Below are 26708 nucleotides of genomic sequence, written 5' to 3' on the forward strand. Positions count from 1 at the left end.
GTTTTTTTCTAAAGCTGTGTTGGCTATTCATGGTCCCTTGTGATTACATATGAATTTTAGGATTTTATCAAATATCTCTGTAAGAGAAGTAACATTGGAATTTTAATAAGGCTGACATGGAATTTGTGCATCACTGAGTAGTATTGACAGCTTAACAATACTAAGTCTCCTGACTGAGAAATGTATGTGTATGTTTATGTCTGTGTTTGTGAATGTTTGGAATTGCATCAGAGATCATGTAAGGTGAAGAGAAAGAGTACAAAGTGTTTCTATGGCCTGTCTCTGGACTCCTGCACATTCCGAACCATGGAAGGTAGGCAAACCACATGATCTCCAGCTGTTTTATCTTTTTAGATGTATCATTGTCAAGTTGGTATGGCAATAAAAATGTCTTTCAAAAGTTGAAAACAAATGTCCGTCTTTGGCCCAATCTCACACACAAATACCCAGAAAGTTGGAAGTTAAGGAAGGTAAATTCTCAGTGGTGGAATTGTAGGTTATTTTAATTCACTTTATTGAATTGCTTTTTATTTTCTAATGTTTGGCATTGTGTCATTTAATTAAAATAAAACATCATATATGTTTTATCCTTGCCTTTATTTGTATATCCATGTAAAATGAAGAAAGAAAGAACAAAAGAAAGGGAGAGAAAAAGAAACAAAATGTAAGAATTTAAAAAATGAAAGGAAGAAAGGAAGCAGAGAAAAAAATAAAATTTTAAAAGTGCTATAAATTAGAGCCAAGAAAGCATCTGGATAACGTAATCACTGTTTTGCTATACAAGGCCCAAGCCAGCAGGGCCTCCTGGGAGAGACAGAGATATTGGAGACTGCAAATAACTCCTAAACAATTTCCATTTTTATCGCTTTTCATTCATTGTGTAAGTTACCTACACTTTTTTTGTCAGCTGAAACTAATTCCAGTTGTCTAACAATATTTTACTTTGTTATTATAATCCAGGTTCAAAAAATAAGAATAAAAGTGTTTTCTAGGCTGGTTGCTTATTTGTAAATTAGTCTAGGCAGAATGATCAGTCTAGAAAAGAATCCTTTATTAGCATTCTGAACAGGGATCCTGGCCAAGAGGAGGAATTCTCCAGAAAGGAGCCAGGGATCTCAGTATAAGAAAAACTCTCGGTCGGGTTCAGTGACAATCACAAGCAATTTCACTCTGACCAGATTAGACTCTGGCTGGCAGTGTGGAAAAAGCCCAACTTTGGGAGAATCAAACCAGGACCTTCCAGGTATTCATTCATTTACCAAGAAAGCATTGATGATGTAAAGTGATGTGCATCACACTGTGTTTAGGGCAATCAAAGTTAAATAAAAATGCATAAGGCATATCCACCTTTCTGGAAACACACTCTAGTTGGGTGCATCTGAATGCCTACATTTGGTGTTGCTATTCTGGGGAATGTGATGATATTATTGTGGTTTTAGTAGCATTTCCTAATGAGTAATAATATTGAAACATTTTACATGCCACTTAGAATTTGTCTATTCAAATGCTTTATTCGTGTTGCATTGGTAAATTATTGTATTAACTCATAAGAGTTCTCTTAATATATTTATTCCTAGACCCAAATCAGATTTAAAACTTAAAATGTTTTGCCATTAAATATTTTGTCTTTTGTATTCATTATGATTCTGTTCAAAAAGCAAATGTTTTTCTGTTTCATGAAGTAGTATTCTTTATTTTTCTCTTGTTTTGAGACAGGGTCTCTGTCACCCAGTCTGGAGTGCAGTGGCACAATTGTGGCACACTGCAGCCTCAATCTCCTCTCCTGAGGAGCTGGGACTACAGGCCTGTGCCCCAGTGCCCAGCTTTTTTTTTTTTTTTTTTTTTTTTTTTCGTAGACATGAAGTCTCACTATGTTGCCCAGGGTGGTCTCAAACTCCTGGGATTGTGTAATTCTCCCACCTCAGCCTCTCCAAGAGCTAGGATTACAGGCATAAGCCATTGATCCTGGCCTAAGTTTTTCTTATTCTTGATTTTGCTTTTGTGTAATACCTAAGATATTTTTTGCCTAATCCAACATTATAAAAATTTACTCTAATTTTTGTCCAGTGAATATGATAATTTTAACTTTTAAAATTAGAGATATAATCAATTTTTAATATTTTATTTTGTGTGGTTTGAGTTAGGTGGTTCAGCTTTATTTGTTTGCATGTTGACAACTGATTTCTCAGTATCATTTGTTGAAGAAACTTCTGCTATTAAAATTTCTTGGCATCTTTGACAAAATTAATTTTACCACAAAGTAATATATTTATTAATATACCACAAATTCTATTCCTTTAATCTATAAAAATCTATTTTTTTCACTGTATTTCCAACTCTTAAGTCCAGGGGTACATATGCAGGATGTGTGGGCTTGTTACTTGGGTAAATGTGTGCCATGGTGGTTTGCTGCACAGATCATACAGTCACCCAGGTATTAAGCCCAGCATCTGCTAGCTATTCTTCCTGATCCTCTACTTCCTCTCACCTTCCATACTCAGGCCCCAGTGTGTGTTTTTCCCCCCATGTGTACATGTGTTCTCATTAATTAGCTCCCACCTATAAGTGAGAACATGCAGTATTTGGTTTTCAGTTCCTGCGTTAATTTGCTAAAAATAATGGCTTCTAGATCTATCCATGTCACTGCAAAGGACATGATCTCGTTCCTTTTTATGGATGCATAGAATTTCATGGTGTTTATGTATCACATTTTCTTTATCTAGCCTGTCATTGATGGGCATTTAGATTCATCCCATGTCTTTGCTATTATGAGTGGTGCTGCAATGAACATACACGTGTATGTGCCTTTATAATGAAACAATTTATAATCCTTTAGGTGTATACCCAGTTATGGAATTGCTGGGTCAAATGGTATTTCTTCCTCTAGGTCTCTGAGGAATTGCCACACTGTCTTCCACAATGGTTGAACTAATTTACACTCTCACCAATGGTGTAAGAGCATTCCTTTTTTCCCACAACCTTACCAGCATCTGTTGTTTTGTGACTTTTTTGTTATAGCCATTCTGACTTGTGTGAGATGATATCTCATTGTAGTTTTGATTTTGATTTATATTTATTTATTTATTTATTTATTTATTTATTTATTTATTTATTTTTGAGACAGAGACTCATTCTGTTGCCAAGGCTGGAGTGCAGTGGCATGATCTCGGTTTACTGCAACCTCCACCGCCTGGGTATAAGCGATTCTTCTGCCTTAGCCTTCTGAGTAGCTGGGATCACAACAACCACCAACATGCCTGGCTAATTTTTTGTATTTTTAGTAGAAATGGGGTTTCACCATGTGGCCAGGCTGGTGTTGAACTCTTCACCTCAAGTGATCCGCCCACCTCAGCCTCCCAAAATGCTGAGATTACAGGTGTGAGCCACTGCGTTTGGCTTGCTTTTTTCTAATGATCAGTGATGTTGAGCTTTTTTTCATATGTTGGTTGGCCACATGTATGTCTTCTTCTGAGAAGTGTCTGTTAATATCCTTTGCCCACTTTCAAATGGGGATGTTTGTTTTCTTCTTGTAAATTTGTTCAAGCTTTTTATAGGTGCTGGATATTTGACCTTTGTCAGATGCATAGATTGCAATTTTTTTCTATTTTGTAGGTTGTCTGTTTACTCTGTTGACAGTTTCTTTTTCTGTGCAGAAGCTCTTTAGTTTAATTAGATCTCATTTTTAAATTTTTGCTTTTCTTGAAATGGCTTTTTGCATCTTTGTCATGAAATCTTTGCCCATGCCTATGTCCTGAATGATACTGCCTTGGTTTTCTTCTAGGGTTTTTATAGTTTTTGGTTTTACATTTAAGTCTTTAATCCATTCTGAGTTGATTTTTGTATATGGTGTAAGAAAGGGATTCAGTTTCAGTTTTCTGCATATGGCTAGCCAGTTCTCCCAACACCATTTATTAAACAGGACATTCTTTTCCCATTGCTTGTTTTTGTCAGATTTGTTGAAGACCAGGTGGTTGTAGGTGTGCAGTCTTATTTATGGGTTCTCTATTCTGTTCCATTGGTCTATCTGTCCGTTCTTGTACCAGTACCATGCTATTTTGGTTTCTGTAGCCCTGGAGTATAGTTTCAAGTCAGGTAGCCTGATGCCTCCAGCTTTGTTCTTTTTGCTTAGAATTGCCTTGGCTATTTGGACTCTTTTTTGGTTCCATATGAATTTTAAAATAGTTTTTTTCTAGTTCTGTGCAGAATGTCAATGGTAGTTTAATGGGAATAGCATTGAATTGAATCTATAAATTTCTTTGGGTAGTATGGCCATTTTCATGATATTGATTCTTCCTAGGTATGGGCATGGAATGTATTTCCATTTGTTTGTGTCACCTCTGATTTATTTGAACCATGGCCTTTAGTTCTTCTTGAAGAGGTCCTTCACTTCCCTTGTTAGCTGTATTACTAGGTATTGTATTCTTTTTGTGGCAGTTATGAATGGGAGTTCATTATTGATTTGGCTCTCAACTGGCCTGTTTTTGGTACATAGGAATGCTAGAGATTTTTTTTTTCATTGTTTTTGTATCCTGAGACACTGCTGAAGTTGCTTGTCAGCTTAAGAAGCTTTTGGGCTGAGACAGTGGGGTTTTCTAGATATAGGATCATGTCATCTGCAGAGAAGATAGTTTAATTTCCTCTCTTTTTATGTGACTACACTTTATTTCTTTCTCTTGCCTGATTGCCGTGGCCACAACTTCCAATACTGTGTTGAATAAAAGTGGTGAGAGTGGGCATCCTTATCTTGTGCTGATTTTCAAGGCAAATGCTTCCAGCTTTTGCCCATTCAGTATAATGTTGGCTGTGGGTTTGTCATAGGTGCCTCTTATTATTTTGAGGTACATTCCTTCAATACTTAGTTTATTGAGAGTTTTTAACATGAAGGATGTTGAATTTTATCAAAGGCCTCTTCTGCATCTATTGAGAAATATCATGTGGTTTTTGTCCTTAGTTGTGTTTATGTGATGAACCACATATATCGATTTGTGTATGTTCAACCAACCTTGCATCCCAGGGATGAAACCTACTTGGTCATGGTGGATAAGCTTTTCAATGGGCTGCTGGGTTGAGTTTGCCAGTATTTTGTTGAGGATTTTTGCATCCATGTTTATCAATAATATTGGCCTGAAGTTTTCTTTTTTTGTTGTTGTATCTCTGCCAGGTTTTGGTATCAAAATAATGCTGGCCTCATAGAATGCCTTAGGGAGGAGTCTGTCATTTTCATTTTTTCTGGCATAGTTTCAGTAAGAACGCTACCAGCTCTTCTTTGTACCTCTGGTAGAATTCAGCTTTGAATCTGTCAGGTCCTGGGCTTTTTTTGGTCAGTAGACTCTCTATTACTGTCTCAAATTCAGAACTTGTAATTGGCCTATTTAGGGGTTCAATTTCTTCCTAGTTCAGTCTTGGGAGGGTTGTGTGTCCAGGAATGTGTTTATTTATTCTAGATCTTCTAGTTTATATGTGTAGAAGTATTTATAATATTCTCTGATTGTTGTTTGTATTTCTGTGGAGTCAGTAGTAATATCTCTTTTATTATTTCTGATTGTGTTTATTTGAATCTTCCCTCTTCTTTAGTAGTCTAGCTAGAAGTCTATTTTATTAATTTTTTCAAAAAAGCTCCTGGATTTGTTGACATTTTGAAGGGTTTTTTTGTGTCTCTATTATGTTCTGTTCAGCTCTGATCTTGGTTATTTTTTGTCTTATGCTAACTTTGGGGTTTGTTTGCTCTTGGTTCTCTAGTTCTTTTAGTTGTAATGTTAGGTTGATGACTTGAGATCTTTTTAGCTTTTTAATATGGACATCTAGTGCTGTAAGTTTTTCTCTTAACACTGCTTTAGCTGCATCTCAGAGATTCTGGTACATTGTCTCTTTGTTCTCATTAGTTTAAAAGAACTTCTTGATATTTGCCTTAATGTCATTATTTACCCATGAATCCTTAAGGAGCAGGTTGTTCAATTTCCATGTAGTTGCATGGTTTTGAGTGAATTTCTTATCCTTGAGTTCTACTTTGCTTACACTGTGATTTGAGACACTGTTTGTTATGATTTTAGTTTTTTGCACTTGCTGAGGCATGTTTTAATACTGATTATATGGTCAATTTTAGAGTAAGTGATATGTGGTGATGAGAACAATGCATATTCTGTTATTTTTGGGTGGAGAGTTCTGTAGATAATCTATCAGTTCCACTTAATTTAGGGCTGAGTTCACATCCTGAAATCTTTGTTAATTTTCTATCTTGATGTCTAATATTATCAATGGCTTGTTAAAGTACCCCACTACTATTATGTGGGAGTCTAAGTCTCTTTGAAGGTTGCTAAGAACTTACTTTATGAATCAGGGTGCTCCTGTGTTGGGTACATATATATTTAGGATAGTTCACTCTTTTTGTTGAATTGAAACCTTTACCCTTATGTAATGCCTTTCTTTGTCGTTTTGATGTTTGTTGGTTTAAAGTCTGTTTTATCAGAAACTAGGATTGCAACCTCTGCTTTTTTCTGTTATCTATTTGCTTGGTAAATTTTCATCCATCCCTTTATTTTGAGCCTATGTGTGTCTTTGCTTGTGAGATGGGTCTTTTGAAGACAGCGTACCAATGGTTCTTTGTACTTTATTCAGCTTGCCATGCTGTGTCTTTTAACTGGGGCACTTAACCTATTCGTATTTAAGGTTAGTATTGTTCTGTGTGATTTTGATCCTGTCATCATGATGCTAGCTGGTTATTTTATAGACTTGTTTATGTGGTTGCTTCATAGTGTCACTGGCTGACACTATGAAGTGTAGTGGCTGGTAATGGTAACTTTCCATATTTAGTGCTTCCTTCAGGAGATCTTGTCTGGCAAGTCTGCTGGTAATAAATTCCCTCAGTATTTGCTTGTCTGAAAAAATTTTATTTCTCCTTCACTTATGAAGCTTAACTTAGCCAGATATGAAATTCTGGGTTGGAATTTCTTTTCTTTAAGAATGTTGAATATTGGCCCCCAATCTCTTCTGGCTTGTAGGGTTTCCACTGAGAGGTCTGCTGTTAGTCTGATGGGCTTCTGTTTGTAGGTGGCCTGACCATTCTCTCTGGCTGCCTTAACATTTTTTCTTTCATTTTGACCTTGGAGAATCTGGTGATTATATGACTTGGGAATGGTCTTTTCATGGAGTATCTTACTGGGGTTCTCTGCATTTCCTGAATTTGAATGTTGGCCTGTCTAGCTAGGTTGAGGAAGTTCTCCTGGATGATATCCTGAAATATGTTCATACGTCTCAGAGGTTTTGTTCATTCCTTTTCATTTTTTTCTCTATTCATGTCTGCCTGTCTTATTTCAGAAAGGACAGTCTTCAAGCTCTGTGATGTTTTTCCTCCACTTGGTCTATTGTGCTATTAATACTTGTGATTACATTGTGAAGGTCTTGTAGTGTGTTTTTTCAACTTTATCAGGTCATTTATGTTTCTATGTATACTGGCTATTTTGGCTGTCAGCTCCTGCATTGTTTTAACTTGATTCTTAGCTCACTGGGTTACAATGTGCCCCTTTAGCTCAGCAAAGCTCATTTGTATTCACATCCTGAAGCCTACTTCTATCATTTCAGCCATTTCAGCCTCAGCCCAGTTCTGAACTCTTGTTGGAGAGGTGTTGCAGTCATTTGGAGAACATGGTGCACCCTTACTTTTTGAGTTTTCATCATGTTTGTGCCACTTCTTATCTTTGTGGGCTTATCTATTTTCAATCTTTCAGGTTGCTGACCTTTGGATGGGGTTATTGTGGGGGTTTTTTGTTGTCGTTTGTCTGTTTGTTTTTCTTTTAATCATCTGGTTGCTCTTTTGTAGGGCTACTGTGGTTTGCTGGGGGTCCACTCCAGGCTTGGTTTTTTTGTTTTTTTGTTTTTTGGGGTTTTTTTTGTTTTTGTTTTTGTTTTTTGTTGAGACGGAGTCTCGCTCTGTAGCCCAAGCTGGAGTGCAGTGGTGTGATCTCGGCTCACTGCAACCTCCACCTCCAGGGTTCAAACGATTCTTCTGCCTCAGCCTCCCGAGTAGCTGGGACTACAGGTGTGCACCACCACGCCCAGCTAATTTTTGTATTTTTAGTAGAGACAGGGTTTCACCATATTGGCCAGACTGGTCTCGAACTCCTGACCTCAAGATCCACCCACCTTAGCCTCTCAAAGCACTGGGATCACAGGCATGAGCCATGTGAGCCACTGTGCCTGGCAGTCACCTTGGTTTTTTAAGTACCTGGAAGTATCACCAGTTAAGGTTGCAATACAGCAAGGATGGCAGCATGCACATTCCTCTGGGGTCTCCATCCCAGGGGGTACTGACCTGTTGACTGCCTGAACACAACTGTAGGAGGTGGCTGGAGACCATGGTTTGGAGGTCTCACCCAATCAGGGGAAAGGGGATGAGCAACCAATTAAAGGAGGAGTCTGGCTGTGTTTTGGTAGAGCAACTGTACTGTGTTGGGGGGATTTGTTCAGCCCCCAATTGGCTTGGGCTCTCCAAGGCCCACAGGCTGCACTGGCTGAGATGCCCAAACAGCAAAGATGGTGACCCACTCTGCCTCCTGGGCACCCCCATCCCAGGGAGAAATTAGAACTCTGTTGGCCTTAGAACATGGGCATGGGTGGCAGGAAGCCCTGGCTGGGAGTACCTGCCCAGCAAGGAAAAATGGATTGGGGTCCCATTTAAAGAAACAGTTATGCCATGCCTCGACAAAACAGCCATTCCATGCTGGGGAACCACCTTTGTCCCAGTCAGCTTGGACTCATAAGCTGGAATGGCTGAGTCACACAAACAGCTAAGGTAGCAGCCCATCTTCCCCTTTCTGAGCACTCTATCTTAGGGAGAAATCAGAACTCTGTTCATAGAATATGGGTGGGGCTGGCTGGAGGCCCCTGCTGGGAAGACTCATCCAGCGAGGATAATGGATTGGGTTTTTATTTGAAGAAGCAGCCTGGCCATATCTTGGTAAAACAGCTGTGCTGTGCTGTGCTGTGGGGTCCCTTCCTCATTCGGATTGTTTGGATTCTCCAAAGCCAACGTCCAAGCAGCAAAGATAGTGGCCTGGCCCTCCCCCAGGGGCTCTGACCCATCTCAGTCAGGTGCTAGGCTGTTGCTGGTGGCTGGAATTCCAAGCCAGTGGGTCTTATCATATGAGGTGCAGTGGAAGTGGGGCCCACAGACTGTTGCTGCTCATCCCCCTGGATTCAGCCTCTTCCTGGAGGCATGCACTGACCTCCCACCTTGTCTGAGTTGCAGTCACCTTTGTTGGAAATCCCAGGACTGAAGTGTGTAAAGCTCCTGGGTCTCTGTGTGTGTCTAAGCAGCTGCTCTACTGAGACTCCACACAACTCTGTGTGTCAGGCCCAAGGCCCTGGTCAAGTGGGCTCACAAGGGGCTCTCCTAATACAAGGGTTGCAAAGATTTGTGGGAGAAGTGTGGTTTCCTAGGGTTGCAAATTCACTCACCCCTATTCTTGGCTGGGGCTGGGCGTTTTGTTGGCTCTGTGTCACTCCCAGATAGGTCCTCAAAATCTATCCTTATAGTAGTACCCTATTGTTTGGTTATGATAACATTTTAGTAAGAACTGATATCAGAAGTAAATTTTGTTTTTATTTTCAAAGTCTCATGTGTGTTTGATTTTTTTTTTTTGCACATCCATATAGAATTTAGAAAGAGCAGCTTGTCAATTTACATTGAAAATAATTTACTTTGAAATTTACATTGAATCTGTAGATTATTTTTTTTTTTTTTTTTTGAGATGGAGTTTTGTTCTTGTCACCCAGGCTGGAGTGCAATGGTGCAATCTCGGCCCACTGCAACCTCTGCCTCCTGGGTTCAAGCAATTCTCCTGCCTCAACCTCCCGAGAAGCTGGGATTACAGGCATGTGCTACCATGCCCGGCTACTGTAAATGTTTTCATTGGGTATTTTGATCATAACGTTTCTTATTGATAACCTTGAATATTAGATATATCTTTCCTTATACAGTTTTAAAAATTTCTTTCAGCATTTTAAATAATTTTCACTGTAAAGTATGTGTACTTGCTTTTAAAAATATGTTCCCAAATGGTTTTTCCAATGTTATTATTAAATTTTTTCTTGACTTAATTTTTAGTATGTCGATTACTGTTATATAAAAGTATTATTTCATCTTGTATATTAATCTCGTATTTTGTGACATTAATAAACTTTATTAGTTCAAGTAAGTTTTTGATAAATTTATAATAGTTTTTTATACAACACTATGGCAAGGAAATAGTATTCTACTTCTTTTCTAATCTGAAGGTTTTATTTATTTTTCTAGTATAGTTTTCTGGCTAGTACTTCCAGTACAGTGTTAAACAGAGTGGAAGAAATGTACATTCTTGTTCCATTTTTTGAACTTACACATAAAGTCTGCAATTATCCACCAGTAAGTGTACTATTAGCTGTTGATTTTTTATACATGCTTTCTAGCAGGTCTTAGAAGTTCCATTCTAGTAGTTTTCTGAGTGTTTTATCATAAATAGGTGCTGGATTTGTCAAACTTTTGCATCTATTTAAGTTGTCACTTTTTTCTATTGTTCAAGTAACATTTTGTAATATGTTGATTTTTAAAATATTAAGCCAACACTGCATTTGTGAAAAACTATTACTTGGTCATTGTATGTAATCAGTTTTACATATTGCTAAATTTAGTTTGCTAACATTTCTGATAATTTCATCAGGAATTCTATATTTATATAGGATTTTGGTCCACAGTCTTCTTTATTTGTGATCCTTTTGTCTGCTTTTAGTATCACAGTACTCCTGGCTAATAGATAAACAGAAAAATCTTACCTGTTCTAGGCCGGGTGCGGTGGCTCACACCTGTAATCCCAATACTTTGGGAGGCCGAGGCAGGCAGATCACGAGGTCAGGAGACCGAGACCATCCTGGCTAACACAGTGAAACCCCGCCTGTACTAAAAATACAAAAAATTAGCCAGGCGTGGTGATGGGCGCCTGTAGTCCCAGCTACTCAGGAGGCTGAGGCAGGAGAATGGTGTGGACCCGGGAAGTGGAGCTTGCAGTGAGCTGAGATCATGCCACTGCACTCCAGCCTGGGTGAGAGAGCAAAACTCCATCTCAAAAAAAAAAAAAAAAAGAAGTTTTAAGTCAATATAATGAGGAAAATAGTAAATATATTAATAATGTGGAAGAAACAAGAAGCTATAAGGTGACAAATCTTATTTGGAAAAAGTCAAATATAAAGTAAACAATTAAAGATTAATCAGTCTATTTAATTTACAACATTTGAGTGAAACATTGAATTAGTCTGAGCTAACGAGAAGATTAGGGAACCTAGAATACTGAGCAGAATTAGTGTAAAAGCAGAAAAGGAGAAGAAGTTATATAACCACAAATATACATTTATGAAAAGTAGAATGAGAGGAAATAAAACAAATCTATTTTTTTCAACTGAGCGTGGTGGCTCATGCTTGTAATCCCAGCACTTGGGGAGGCTGGGGCGGGCAGATCACAAGGTCAGGAGTTTGAGACCAGACTGACTAACATAGGGAAACCCCGTCTCTACTAAAAATACAAAAATTAGCTGGGCGTGGTTGTGGGTGACTGTAATCCTAGCTACTTGGGAGGCTGAGGAAGGAGAATCACTTGGACCCAGGAGGCAGAGGTTGCAGTGAGCTGAGATCGTGCCACTGCACTCCAGCCTGGTGACAGAGCAAGACTCCATCTCAAAAAATATATATATATTTTTTTCTACAGAATATATTTTCAAAAGTGAAGTCAATATTTAGAGTTGGTATCTTCTAAGTTTCTAAAATCAAAAACCAGACATAAGTCTTTTTTTTTTTTTTTTTTTTGAGATGGAGTCTCACTCTAGTCACCCCAGGCTGGAGTGCGGTGGTGTCATCTCGGCTCACTGCAACCTCCGCTTCCGGGGTTCAAGCAATTCTCCTGTCTCAGCCTCCTGAGCAGCTGGGACTACAGGCACACACCACGACACCTGGCTAATTTTTGTATTTGTTTTAGTAGAGACGGGGTTTTACCATATTGGTCAGGCTGGTCTTGAACTCCTGACCTTAGGTGATCCACCTGCCTCAGCTCCCCGAAGTGTTGGGATTTCAGGCATGAGTCACCGCACCCAGCCTAAGTCTTTAATAGAAGAAACACAGTGGGTCAAAAAATAAGGAAATTAAATACCAAAAATAGCCAAGCCACCTAACATCAAAGAGGAGAACAAATCACTATAAATCAGTGAGAGAAAAAATATATACTTTACAAGGATGGAAGTAAAATGTCCACAACTTGTGTAGAACCAAAACCAGAAAAATAAATATAAATGGAAATGTGAGAAATTATTCTTAAAGCTGGAAATGGACACTTACCAGCAATACCTTCATCAAAATGGGTAAGTTAAAATATTTTGAAAAGAAAAATATTAATTTGGTCATCAACAGCGTTACGGGTGGGTCTTTGTTCTTAGAGCTCCCAAGATGGTGGCAGGCTGCTCCCAAGATGGGGCGGGCCGCTCCCAAGATGGTGGCAAGACTTTTATTCTCTGACCTGGGGTTCTTGGCCTCATGGATTCCAAGGAATGGAACCTTGGGCCATGCAGTCAGTGTTATAGCTCTATTAGAAGCCCTGGGTCACGGAAGAGAACCGTGGAACCCAGGGACTAGTGTTCAGCTCAATTAGGATGAACCCAGGCACTTAGCCACACAGGAACAATGGTGAGCCTCTAGCACAGTCAGGAGTGGCAATGGGCACCTCACTGGATCAGAAGTGCAGTGGACACCCTGCTGGATCCAGAAGGTTGGAAGTCAGTGGTGGGTCTGCGATGGTGGTGATCAGCAGTGGTGGATGGCAAGCGATAGCTCAGCTCGAGCCGGAACAAACGCAGACCAGAAGAGTGTGCAGTTGCAAATTTAATAGAGTGAAAACAGAGCTCCCATACAGTGGGAGGGGACCCAAAGGGGGTTGCCACTCCCTGCTTGAATGCCTGGGTTTATATCCCAATCATTGTCCCTCCCCCTGTGCTCTCAGTTGATACATGATTTGACTATTTCTTTACCTCTTGCTTTTAGCTTAATTTGTATTTTAGTGAACCCTCTTTACTACCTGATTGGTGGGGTGTGAGCTGAGTTACAAGCCCCGTGTTTAAAGGTGGGTGCGGTCACCTTCCCCAGCTAGGCTTAGGAATTCTTAGTCAGCCCAGGAAATCCAGCTAGTCCTGTCTCTCAGTCCCCCCTCTCAACAGGAAAACCCAAGTGCTGTTGGTGAGGTTGGCTGGACAACTCTTAACTGCTATCTGCTGAACTGGGGCATAGTAGGGGTCATGCAGTTGAGATTTCCTCGGGAGGGGTGCCTTCAATGTCATCAACATCAGAGCAGGGGCTAGCAGGCCAGTCCATGGGTCCACAGTAGATCTTAGTCACGGACTGCATCTGGGGCTCCATTTGAAGAATGATTTGTAGTTTTACAGCTTCGATTCTGGAAGAGACAAACTTAACAAGGGGGTTAAAGATACAGAGATTGAAATGTATGACCTGCAGTGCAGGGTATTATTTCTTCAGCACACTTCACAGGCCCTGACTATCTGCTTGATAGCTTTTAAAAGGCCTGGTCCAGTAAATAATGATTTGGCCATCTGATGGGTGCTATCAATGCCTAAGTGAAAGGTTTGGTGAAGAATTTTAAGTAATTTCCATTGGTTAGCTGCAGGCAAAAGTATTTTCCTTCTTCAGTGGCTAGCCATCCTGAGGGGAGGAAACTATGTCCTTGTGAGGTTCCCCATTCTATTTCTTCTGCTGAGTACTGGGGCTTGGTTTCCCAGAGGGGATTACACCTTACTAGGGGTCCTTCTATAAGTATTTCTAATGGAGGGTTCCACCTTGCGGCTCTTTTCGCTTCAATATCTGCTTGGCAATTCCCTTCTATTTCCCTTTCCTTTCCTTTCCTTTCTGGTGACCCCGGCAGTGTTAGATTGCCACCTCTTTAGGTTTCTGTACAGCCAATAATAATCTCCTAATGGCTTCCTGGTGTTTGTTAGGTGTTCCCTCAGAAGTTAGGAATTCCCTTTCTCTCCATATTGCTGTGTGGGCATGGAGGACTAGGTAAGCATACTTACAGTCTGTATATAGATTTACCCTTTTTCCTTCTCCTAATTCTAGTGTATAATGGCCCCGGCTTTTGCTAGGATGTCTCTCCCTAAGAAAGGAGTGGGGCTTTCAGGCATAATTAGAAAGGCATGTGAAAAGAGTAAAGTTCCTCAGTCACAACTTAGTGGCTCAGAGAAGTATCTAGTGACTGTCTGTCCTAGGAACCCTTGGATAGTGACAGATCTGGAGGACAGTTGTCCGGGAGAGGAGAGTAAGACTGAGAAGGCTGCACCAGTGTCCAGGAGGCAGTTAACCTCCTGGTCCTCAATGGTCAAGCATACCCGGGGCCCAGTGAGGGTGATGGCATGGGCTGGCACTTGCCCCAGGCACCCTCAGTCCTGCTGCTGGATCATCTGGTTAGTGGCTTCTGACTAAGAGAACCTTCATCCCCTGGGGCAGTGGGCCTTACAGTGATTCCCTTGACATAAGGGCATGGACAAGGGGGTGGATTATTTCTATTCAGACAATCTTTTTTAAAGTGTCCTTGTAGACCGCACTGGAAGCAGCCCCTATTAGGCATTTGATTTGCCCAGCCTTTCCCTGTTCCAGAGCCTCCAAAGTCCACTTGCCTGAAGGCCATGACTAAGGTGGCCTTTTTCTTATCCCATTTATCCCATTCTGCCTGCTCCTCTTGATCTCTATTATAAAAAACCAAGGCTGCCAAGTTCAATAGGGTTTCTAAGTTTTGCTCCGGGCCTAAGGCGGGCTCTTGAAGTATTTTTCTAATGTCTGCAGCTGACTGAATGATAAACTTATCCTTTAAGATAGTTGGCCCTCAATAGAGTCAGGTGACAGAAAGGTATGCTTCCTCAATGCCTCCCTTAGTCTCTCCAGAAAGGCAGTAGGATTTTCTTCCTTTCCCTGTGTTACAGTGGACATCATTGAATAATTTATAGACTTCTTCCTAGTTTTCCTTAGTCTCCTATCACAAAAATTAGTAAATGTCTGTGGCACCAATCTCCATGTTCTGATTCTGCATCCCAATGAGGGTCTACACTGGGACCTGCCTGCTTACCTGTGGGGAATTGTTCTTTTTCCTCTGTTGTTATCCTATCTTTGACCTGACTGAGATATCAGAGATCGCCAAACTCTCAGGCTACAGTTATGGTGGCACTTCTCTCATTTGGGGTTAGTGTCTGATCTAGCAGTAGCATTATATCTCTCCATGTCAGATCAAAGGATTCTCCTAACCTTTGTAAAACATCAATATAGCCGTCAGGGTTATCAGAGAATTTACCTAGGTCTATTTTAATTTGCTTCAAATCTGAGAGGGAAAAAGACAAATGCACTCTGACTGGGCCAAATTCTCCAGAATACATCTTAGGGGCATTTTTGCCTTGGGGGAATGTTTCCCATCTGAAAAAAGAACATAGGGATGCCACTACCCCTAGCCATTTTCCGATGAGCATTAGTCCTAGGGCATCCTTTATGGTCCTAATGCTTATTCCTTTCCAGGGTGTGTAACCACCCATGGACCTCTGCTTATCAAATTAGTTATGCTCACCAATGTAGCAGTCCTGCACCCCTTTTCCTGCCTTTCTTGACCACAAAGAAAGGGGTCCAGGCTGCTGGATTCTAGTGGTCCTTTACCAGAGTGCCCAACATTGCCTTTGTGCTCAGGGGTGAGTCCTAGAGCTGGGCTGGGTTCCTGAGTATTTCATAACAACCCAGCTGCCCCATCAAGATGCATCCCTATAAACAACAGTTCTTATGCAAATTCATTTCAGAGAGGGTGTAGGTAACCTTTTGAGTCAGGATTGAGATAGTTTTTTGATTCTGTAAGTACTTTAAGGCTTGGCTGAGTGCAAACAGCTCACACGTTTGGGCAGACCAATTATTAAGCAATTCTCCTAACTCTGCTTCCATAAGAGACTCCCTGTCAATTACTGCATACACATTGTGGTTTTTTTTCTCAATCACCCGGGAGGAACCATCTGTTGTCCTGTCCTGAAGGGAGTTCCTCCTTAGTCTGGTCGGACCTTTGTATGGTAATTAAGATTTAAATCCCCTGTTAGGAAATCTGCTGGGTTAAGGGAATTTTCAGTGATTAATGTTAAATCACCTTTTTCTAATAGAATAGCCCTATACTTTAAGATTTTTGAGTTAGTGAGCTACGTTTTTGCTTTTTTTTTTTGACTTAGGATAGCTCTGAACTGGTGAGGTGTGCTCACAATGAGGTTTCCTCTAAAAGTTATTTTTTTACTATCTTCTGTTAGCAAAGCAGTTGCCGCTACAGATTGAATGCATTTGGCCCATCCACGGGTTACTGGGTTAAGAATTTTTTATAGGAAGTCTACGGGCTGTCAGTGGTCTCAGTGTTTTCAGGCTACACCCTTGTTTACGCTGACAACAAGGTAGTATTGGAGGGTTATAGGGTCACGGAGAAGACCTTCAATTATCAATTATAGGTTTTAAATTTACCCTGGCTTTTAAAGGAATAGGGCACACTTTTTTCTTTACTACTTCTGTCTTTCTCTTTTTTTCTCTCTTTGACTCCCTCTTTGTCTCTCTGCCTCTTTCCTTTCTCTCTCTGCTTCTCTTTCCTCTCTCTCTCTCCCCTCTCTCTCTCCCTCTCTCTCCCTCTCTTTTTCCTCTCTCTCTCTAACTTACTCAATTCGCCTTCAACCTGATCTATTATTTGCCTTAGACCCAGTTCCAGTTGTTAAAGTACTGGGTTATCACTTCTAAGGCCCTGGCCAAGGAGCCAAGGCTTGGAGATTGTATTGCAGAGGGGTCAGCTGGGTAGAAATTGGGGAAGGAGAGCATCTTACACAATGGGAGGGCAATCTTCCTAGCCATTTACAAACTTGGGGCCCTGGCAAGGGTGGTGGGGAACAGGTCCCACATAACTGCCCATGTCAAGAGCTGTATGCCTAAATTGGGAGGGACACCAGAGACAAGACTCTCTGGGTTCATAGCCTAGGGGCATAAAGACGCAGTGTAGAGCTTCCTTAGATACCTTTGGAGATACAACTTGCTAGAGGAAATGAAAGGCTGAACCATTAGTGCCTAGGAGGCAGGGATCAGAGGAAATAGATACAGAGGTAAGGAGAATTTTGAGGCTACACTTTCAAGAAAGTCGTGGTCAGGACCCAGGAGGTATGGGTCAGAAGGAAAGGTAGGGGTGCATGCATAGGCAACTGTTGAGAAGAGACTTCTGGCTGCACCGTGATCTCAACCAGCTAATGCTGAGAGTTTGGGATGACAGCTTTCTGCCACTAGTCAGCCCTCAGCTTCCCCAGGAAAATTGTGAAAGTGGAAGCTGGTTCCAGGCAGACCAACACTCCCAACCCAGAAGGGTTGGGGGTTGTTAGAAAGCCCTTCCCAGGAAGGCTGACACCTGAGTCTTTAGTCTGGCAGCCACGCTAATCATTTTTAACTGGCTGACAGGTGCCCAGTATTTTCCTCCAATTCTAAGGAAGGATAGGACAGAATAGCAAGTGAAAGTGGTCTGATATTACTCACTGCTTTGGAGAATCCCCATATGAGGCCACTAAATGTTATGGGCGGGTCTTTGTTCTTAGAGCTCCCAAGATGGGGGCAGCCCATCCCCATCTTGGGAGTGGCCCGCCACATCTTGGGAGCTCTAAGAACAAAGACCTGCCCATAACAGTAGGAGCTTTTTAAGCATGTACTTCAAGAAAAAAGAAACATTTTTGTGTTTAAAGTTAAAAATAAAAATGAAAGAGTGAGAGACTTGATTTGGGAGTTGACATGTCCTTTACTCAGAGGTATCAGGACCTGGGAGCCTTTCACCCACATAAAACACTCTAGAGTTTACAAAACATTCCTATATTCCATTGCTTCTTTGATCTTTATACACTGTGAGGTGGTGCAAAATAGAGGCTTGAGCCCCATTTTTCATATAAAAAAAGATGGGGCTAAGAAAGACAAAGATAACACACAAAGCTTGGGTCAGAACTGGAACTGGAACACAGGACTCTCAAACCAGTGCTTTTCCTGTCACTAAATCACATGTAGGGCTAAGAATACATTAAGACTGCAAAAGATAGAGAATTGCTCAATGCATTCCACCAAGATTAGACCTGACCCACTCCAGAAAGCTAAGCCACTCTGGGGCCCTGGGGTGGAAAACTCAAGGAAGAGAATGATGCCTACATTTGCACATCTGAGCTCCAATCCAAGTGCTGCTACTCAGCTACAGAGCCTCACTTTCTCAGCCTCACCTTTTTCTGCTATAAAATGGAACTATGGAAGGCACCAAAAATCTCAGCATAAGGGCAGAACTGCACTCTAAATGCAGGAGTACCTGGCAGGTGGAAAGCACTCACTGACTTTTAGTTTAAGCACATGAGTAATATGTTGTGTTTCATTGTGTCTCTTCCATGGTGTTTCATTCATGGCTCCAGATCCTGGGGGCTTCTGATCAACCCTCCTGCTAAGTGATGGATGACTAGATGAATGAATGGGTGGATGAAAGTATGGATGGAAACATGGATGGATGGATGAATGCTCAGGAGAGCAGAAAGAAGTAAATGGAGTCAAAATGAGAATGAGGAGATGACTGAAGGATAAAGAGTTGATTTATGAGATAGAGGCATGGTCTCCAACCCTCCTATCCCCACACAGCCTCACCAACACCTGCCTTGGGGTAGCAGTGGCACTTGCTTCAGATGATGTCCCCAGGCACCATGACATAGCTGCAGAAGATGCCATAGACCTGAGGCTGATCATGGCTCATGAGAAACGTGCTAAGAGCCAGCAGAAAAAACCCAGCAGCACAATAAAGTTGATGTTGAAGCTCTTCTCATCTGCCATGGCTGCCTGGCCAGGTCATAGACTATGCACTCCTGGCAGAGGGGGTCCACGTCATCCAGCATAAACACCCAGACAGGCTCACAGGGAGGCATGAAGCCCTGTGATTGCTGCCAATTGAGGCTTAAAGTTAAAAGGAGAACAAGACCCCCTCAGGTCCAGACCCAGTGCCTGGGCCCACAAGTTCAGGTGGCAAGAGGGAGCGCACTTCAGTGAAAAATTGCACCCACCCACTCAACTTCATTCCTCACCATCCTGCCTTCCCTGCAGGCTAAGCAGTCCTGCAGGGCACCTATGAATCTGAATGAGAGAGTATTCAGGAAAGAGGGAAGGGAAAGTTACCAGGACTGGGCCCCAGCCAAGGATTTGACATCACCTTATTTGCCTACTATAGGGATGAACTAGGTGGACAGGTGGCCATATTATTACACTATATTAATACATATACACCTTTCAGCCCTGGGAAGCAGCATACAAGTCTGCAGGGAAAAGATGTTAGAATGCTGCTGGAGGATTCCGGGATCTCACAGGCTGGATTTCAGAGTCCTGAATTTTAGACTTTTCAAGGACATGTGCCCATCTGGGGTTCAGGCATAATAGTCTATATTAACTGATGGTGACTGTGTGCATGTCACCATAACATGTTACATTATTAACTCACTTAAGGGACTCCATGAGGCAGGTACTGCTATCTTCACTTTACAGAGGACATTGAGCACAGGCAAGTAACTTGCCCATGGTCACAAACCTGGAAATAGCAGAGCAGCTGGGATATGCACCCAGAGTCTGTGTACTTAGCCACAGTGCAGTCCTGCTTAACTGCAGAACAAAATTATGTGTGTGAGCTCTGATGGCAAGGCAAGCTGGCTGGGTTTAGATCCTGGCTCCTCTACTCTGGGGCAGAATGGTTGATCAAGTTACCTACTGTGCTTCATTTTCCTCCTCTGTAAAAGGGGCATAATAACTGTGCCTCCTAGGTTTGGAGCTGTCTTTGAGCCTAGCCTTTCTTTGTTCCCCTGTACCCTTCACATTCTGTGCACCATCCAGGCCTGCTTTTAATGAGCTTCTCCCATTCCCCACCATGACTCTGGTAAATTAATATCTGTGCAGCATGTGAATGACTGATAGCAACTAACTCAATTTCCTTGCATCCTAACCCAGAGAGATGCCTTCCTAAGAATGGTATTCTAATTTAGGATTTTAGTCCTGGGGACACCATGACTCTGGTAAATTAATATCTGTGCAGCGTGTGAATGACTGATAGCAACTAACTCAATTTCCTTGCATCCTAACCCAGAGAGATGCCTTCCTAAGAATGGTATTCTAATTTAGGATTTTAGTCCTGGGGACAGGCTGATGAGAGAGATAAGATTCCTTTACAGGATTACAGGAAAATAAGAACTATCAGTATCTCTAAAACAGAATGTTCACTTGGAGTGTTGATGGGGTTAAATGGCTGATGCAGGATAAAAGGCTTTCATTTGGCTCAGTGACTTGCTGGGTTTGGGGATTTTTCTCTTCTTGGTCATCACCTCCTGCCTTTTGCCCACCCCATGATGGTGCTTGTTCCCCTAACGCCACACCTGTGCTCACACCAAGCCTTCTGCCTGGTAGTCCTACCTACAGACCTGTTTTGTTTTTTCTTTTTCTAGACAATTAAGCTCAGAGTGATCTTTAACATGCCAGTCAATATTAATAAAACACAAGTCAAAGACAAGAGCAAAGATATTTTAGATCAAAATTAGTGAGAAAACAATGGAAAAATTGTATTTCTTTTTGCAAAATCTGTTTGCCAGTATGACTAGTCAAATGGCTAATCACAGATACAATGTATTTTGTGAAAAACTTAGAATGTCAGAAATAATTCTGGCATTTCAAACAGCTGTGTAGAGGATTACCAAGATCAGTTTATATACACAAACACTGCAGACAAACCTGGCAAAATATTGAACATCAGACTAACAGTACAATCGGATACAAAACTGGGGAGGAAGGAGGAGGTTTTTTTTTTTGTTTGTTTGTTTGTTTATTTGTTTGTTTTTGAGACAGAGTCACGCACTGTAGCCCAGGCTGGAGTACAGTGGTGTGATCTTGGCTCACTGCAACCTCTGCCTCCTAAGTCCTGATTCAGGCAATTTTTGTGCCTCAGCCTCCCAAGTAGCTGGGATTACAGGCATGTGCCACCATGTCCAGCTAATTTTTGTATTTTTAGTAGAGACAGGGTTTCACCATGTTGGCCAGGCTGGTCTTGAACTCATGACCTCATGATCCACCCACCTCAGCCTCCCAAAGTGCTGGCATTACAGGCATGAGTCACCGTGCCTGGCTGGTTTTTTGTTTTGTTTTGTTTTTGTTTTTTTTAGAGTCAGACTAGTACAATACCAGAAAAAATTACCAAACTCAGTAAATATTATTTGGCATTAATACAAAATTCCAAAGGTGAGGGGAAGGTGCATTTTTTTTTAATGCACCAGGTTTAAAGTTCAAAGGATAAAAGGCAAATAGTTGTTTTCATCAAGAGCAGCTGTACATTTCACATAATTTTTTCAAAAGGAAAGGCTATTAACAACAGTGATTATTTAATGCTGCAAGTTTACAGCAAAGACAAAACTAAATAGCAAATTCACAAGGCAATACTTCCACAGAACTATCATCCCATGTCTCATGCAATGCCTAAAAAGTGCTCTTAATTGGATATACAAGTATAATTAACGTTAAAAAAGAAGAAATATAAATTTGACACGCAGATACATTAAAGGCTGAGTAGTAATGAGTGGTTTTAATATTTGCCTTGTCGAGAGGAGAATATGTTTGTCATCAAGCACTTGAATCCTTTCCCCAGGTCACTACAGGAAAAGATATCTTCATTAAAGTGCAACAGCACACTGAGAGCAACACACCACCACAGCAGTTAATTTTGGAAAGGCCACTGTAAGCTCCACTAGTGACTGACATTTTACAGATGACAGATTGGTGAGTACACAAAAGCCTGAAAAAGCTATGGTCAAAATACAGCTTTCAATTGTAATTCACAAATAAAAGTCCTAATCAGTAAAACTACTGACACCAATAGAGAGAGTAATTGCAAATTGAATTCTAGCAGTGATTTCAACCTAGCTTGCTTTTATCACAGTGTTATTTTGGTGGGGTGGTTAGGTAGGAAATGAGTAGCTTAGTATACTGGAAGGCTGATAGAGCACTTAATTTTCTTTCTAATAAGTCAAGATGTTGTGTTCCTCTGGGTGGTGGACCTACTGGCCTCTGATCAGTGAAAAGTGCTCCTTCCTCAGCTGCAGCCTTCGATATCTGTGCTTTCATGATTTATTTAGGTAAAAGTGTATTTTCGGACTTCTCAACATTCAGTTCTATACATAACTGTTCTCCTCTCTCTAGAAGCAAGCAGCAACATTGAATGCTTTATCAGGGCAATTGCTGAAGGTTTCTCTCTGGATCTGGATGAATCATAAATTTGGGCAACTCTGTAAATTCTTGGAAAAGCCTATGTGGTATCTGAGGTAATCTTTTCTACCTGATTCCATGCCACTGGTCTCCATTCCTGGGAAGAGATTCAGCACCAGCAGCACATACCACTGTGAGGGCAAGTACAAAATACCTGCTTTTAGTAGATGATATAGTTCTTCTGTAAAACTTCATTTCCAAAAAAAGGACTATCATCCTGTTAAATCTGTGGACTAGAGATCCTTGTTACATGCCCAGGATTACCTATTTTAAGTATAACTTTGTTGGATGCCTAGTGACATGCTTTGGCTGTGTCTCCACCCAAACCTCATCTTGAATTATAGCTCCTATAATTCCCATACGTTGTGAGAGGGACCTGGTGGGAGATAATTGAATCATGGGGGCAGTTTCCCCAATATTGTTCTCCTGGCAGTGAATAAGTCTCAATAGTTCTGATGGTTTTATACAGGGAAACCTGTTTCACTTGCTTCTCTCATTCTCTCATATCTGCTGCCAAGTAAGATGTGCCTTTTGCCTTCTGACATGATTGAGAGGCCTCCCCAGCAATGTGGAATGTGAGTCCATTAAACATCTTTTTCTTTATGCATTACCCTGTCTTGGGTATCTCTTTACTAGCAGTGTAAAAATGGACTAATACACTAAATTGGTACAGGTAGAGTCAAGTGCTCCTGTAAAGATACCCAAAAATGTGGAAGCAACTTTGGAACTGGGTAACAGGCAGAGGTTGGAACAGTTTGGAGGGCTTGGAAGAAGACAGGAAAATGTGGGAAAGTTTGGAACTTCCTAGAGACTAGTTGAATGGCCTTGAGCAAAATGCTGATGATGATATGAACAATGAAATCCAGACTGAGGTGGTCTCGGACAGAGATGAGGAACTTGTTGAGAACTGGAGTAAAGGTGACTCTTGTTATGTTTTAGCAAAGAGACTGGTGAGTTTTGGGCCCTGTCCTAGAGATTTGTGAAACTTTGAACTTGAGGGAGATGATTTAGGGTATCTTGTGGAAGAAATTTTTAAGCACCAAGCATTCAAAATGTGACTTGGGTGCTGTTAAAAGCATTTAGTTAAAAAAAAAAGACAAGAGAACATAAAAGTTCAAAAAATTTGCAGCCTGACAATGTGATAGAAAAGAAAAACCCATTTTCTGAGGAGAAATTCAAACCAGCTGCAAAAATTTATATAAGTAGAGTAGCCAAATGTTAATCACCAAGACAATGGGGAAAATGTCTCCAGAACATGTCAGAGGTCTTCATGGCAGCCCCTCCCATCACAGGCCAGAAGGCCTAGGAGGACAAAATGGTTTAGTGGGCCAGGCCCAGAGCCCTCCTGCTTTGTGCATCCTAAGGACTTGGTGCCTTGTGTCCCAGCCACTATGGCTGTGGCTAAAAGGGGCCAAGGTACAACTTGGGTTGTGGCTTCAGAGGGTGCAAGCTCCAAGCCTTGGCAGCTTCCACATGGTGTTGAGCCTGCAGCTGCACAGAAGTCAAGAATTGAGGTTTAGGAACCTCCATCTAGATTTCAGATGATGTATGGAAACGCCTAGATGTCCAGGGAGAAGTTTGCTGCAGGGGCGGGGCCCTCATGGAGAAACTCTGCTAGGGCAGTGTGGAAGGGAAATGTAGGGTCAGAGCCCATACACAGAATCCCTACTGGGGCACCACCTAGTGGAGCTGTGAGAAGAGGGCTATCGTCCTCCAGACCCCAGAATGGTAGATCCACCAACAGCTTGCACCATGCACCTGGAAAAGCCGCAGACACTCAATGCCAGCATGAGAACGTAGCCAGGAGGGAGGCTGTACCCTGCAAAGCCACAGGGGTGGAGCTGCCCGAGACCATAGGAACCCACCTCTTGCATCAGCATGACCTGGATGTAAGACATGGAGTCAAAGAAGACTATTTTGGAGCTTTAAGATTTGACCCACTGGATTTTGGACTTGCATGGGGCTTGTAGCCCCTATTTTGGGGCCAGTTTCTCCCATTTGGACCAGCTGTATTTACCCAATGCCTGTACCCCCACTGTGTCTAGGAAGTAACTAACTTGCTTTTGATTTCACAGGCTCTTAGGCAGAAGGGACTTGCCTTGTCTCAGATGAGACTTTAGACTGTGTGTTTTTTGCTTTTGTTTTTGTTTTTGTTTTTTGTTTTTTTTGAGACTGAGTTTCACTCTTGTTGCCCAGGCTGGAGTGCAATGGCATGATCTCGGCTCACCACAACCTCTGCCTCCTGGGTTCAAACGAGTCTTCTACCTCAGCCTCCTGAGTAGCTGGGATTACAGGCATGTGCCACCGTGCCTGGCTAATTTTGTATTTTTAGTAGAGATGGGGTTTTTCCATGTTGGTCACGCTGGTCTCAAACTCCCAACCTCAAGTGATCTGCCTGCCTTCACCTCCCAAGGTGCTGGGATTACAGGCATGAGCCACCACACCCAGCCTGGACTGTGGTCTTTTGAGTTAATGCTGAAATAAGTTAAGACTTTAAGGGACTGTTGGGAAGGCATGTGGGGTTTTGAAATGTGAGGACATAAGATTTGGGAGGGGCCAGAGTTGGAATGATATGATTTGGCTGTTTCCCCACCCAAATCTCATATTGAACTGTAGTTCACATGATTCTCATGTGTTGTGAGAGGGACCTGGGGGTAGTTAATTGAATCATGGCGGCAGTTTCCCCAATACTTTTCTGTTAGTGAATAAGTCCTCCTGAGAGATCTGATGGTTTTATAAGGGGAAACCCTTTTCACTGGGTTCCCTCATTCTCTCTTGTCTGCTGCCATGTAAGATGTGCCTTTTGTCTTCTGCCATGTTTGTGAGGCCTCCCCAGCCATGTGGAACTGTGAGTCCATTAAACCTCTTTTTCTTTATACATCACCCAGTCTCAGGTATGTCTTTATCAGGAGCCTGAAAATGGACCAATACCCCCATTCATCTTCATCCCCTTCTTCAGAGGCTGCATTGGGGATTGAGGTTTGAGACATGGAAATATTACCGGTTTCATGTCCATGTGAATCAAAGACATTGAATGAATATACCTCAAGCACCAGCCAACTTGCAGAAGGAGATCCTTCACCTCTGCTTGTTAAAAGTAACTCATGATTCTGTAATTTGTATTTGTAGCATCAACTGACTTTCCACCATCACAATATCCATTCTGTGTAAGCATATGAGCATCTGCCCAAGCAGACAAGTAAGTGCCAAACTACGCAAATGCTGTCCAAGCACTGTGTGAGCATAAACTTTTCTGAAAGCATTCTGCTCATGAACAGAGCCAGCCAGTGACTTTTCTGATCACTTAATGCACTTATCCAGCCTCTCCACAGGCAGCCCATGGGGTCTCCCGGGAGTGTTGGCATTGGGGCGGCCTTGGTGCTGTCCCAAGCCCCATTCCCTAGCTTGTGCAGTGCCATGAGGTTGGACTCCTGGGTGCGTCCTGGGCTCTGGCCCACCCGCGATGCCATCTGCCTGTGTGGCCAGACCCAGCTCCACCCTGCGGGGCTCCGCAGCTCGGGGTCACCCAGGGGTGTGGTCCCAGCTTTGCCCTCAATGCCCATGCTGTCCGCCCCGGCCCTGGCTTGGCTGACAGTGGCCAGTCCAGGTGGGGCTTGGGCTAGGGGCACGGCCCTCCCACCTTTCCGGAATCCAAGTCCTCGCCGCCACTGCCAGGTCCTGCCAATACCCCTGGTGGCCCTGGCAACACCCCAGTTGCAGCATCGCCATCGCAGGGCAGACCCCGGCCAACCTCAAAGCGACTGTGCAGTGGGGCCAATGAGGACTAGGGCTGTGCAGCACAGCCAGGGTGGGGGTGGCGGGCCACCAGGAGCTGCTTGGAACCAAGGATCCTGGGGCCATCCCACCCCGCACAGCTCTGGGTGAGCTTGGGGAGGGAGACACACTCTCATCCTACCTCGCCCCACCCGACAGCGCTCCGAGTCCTGAGTCCCCTCACCCCCATTCTACAGACACAAAGCTGAGGCCAAAGACAGGACGCTCACTTCCTGAGTATTTGCTGCCTGCTGCGTGGACACCACCAACCTATTGTTTACAGCAGTCAGAGACCCGCCCCCCAGACCCCCAGGACCCCCAGGACCCCACTCCCTGGCAAGGAGGGTGTCCTCAGCAATGGTGACCCACACCAAAGCGCTCCCCATCCAGGGTCACTGCCCCAGCCGGTGTGAGGCCTGTAGGGCACTGGGGATGCGCGACTGACTCCCCTAAACCTGCTTTTCCCACGTCAGGGAGGGCTGCACACCCAACTCAGCTCTGTGAGGACGGACTGATGTTGGCATGCAGGCTGTGGCCGTGAAGGGAGGGTTTGTGGAGGGGCGATTTGTGA

General features: G+C 42.5%; 1 protein-coding gene and 1 pseudogene across 2 annotated transcripts in view; one reads left to right on the top strand and one right to left on the bottom strand.

Annotated features, from left to right (window-relative positions):
* Positions 1 to 22972, top strand: part of ZNF718 (zinc finger protein 718) — a 77831-nt gene extending 54859 nt beyond the window's left edge. Inside the window, exons 2-3 of one of the 2 annotated variants that reach the window (NR_110528.1) lie at positions 21747 to 21877; positions 22298 to 22972. The gene's annotated coding sequence lies outside the window, so the exon portion shown is untranslated. The remainder of the gene's footprint in view (positions 1 to 21746; positions 21878 to 22297) is intronic. The other variant, NR_110527.2, reaches the window with a different exon arrangement.
* Positions 21889 to 25694, bottom strand: LOC100288172 (WEE1 homolog (S. pombe) pseudogene; annotated as a pseudogene).

Source organism: Homo sapiens, chromosome 4 (genome assembly GCF_000001405.40).
Source record: "Homo sapiens chromosome 4, GRCh38.p14 Primary Assembly".
Lineage (NCBI taxonomy): Eukaryota > Metazoa > Chordata > Mammalia > Primates > Hominidae > Homo > Homo sapiens.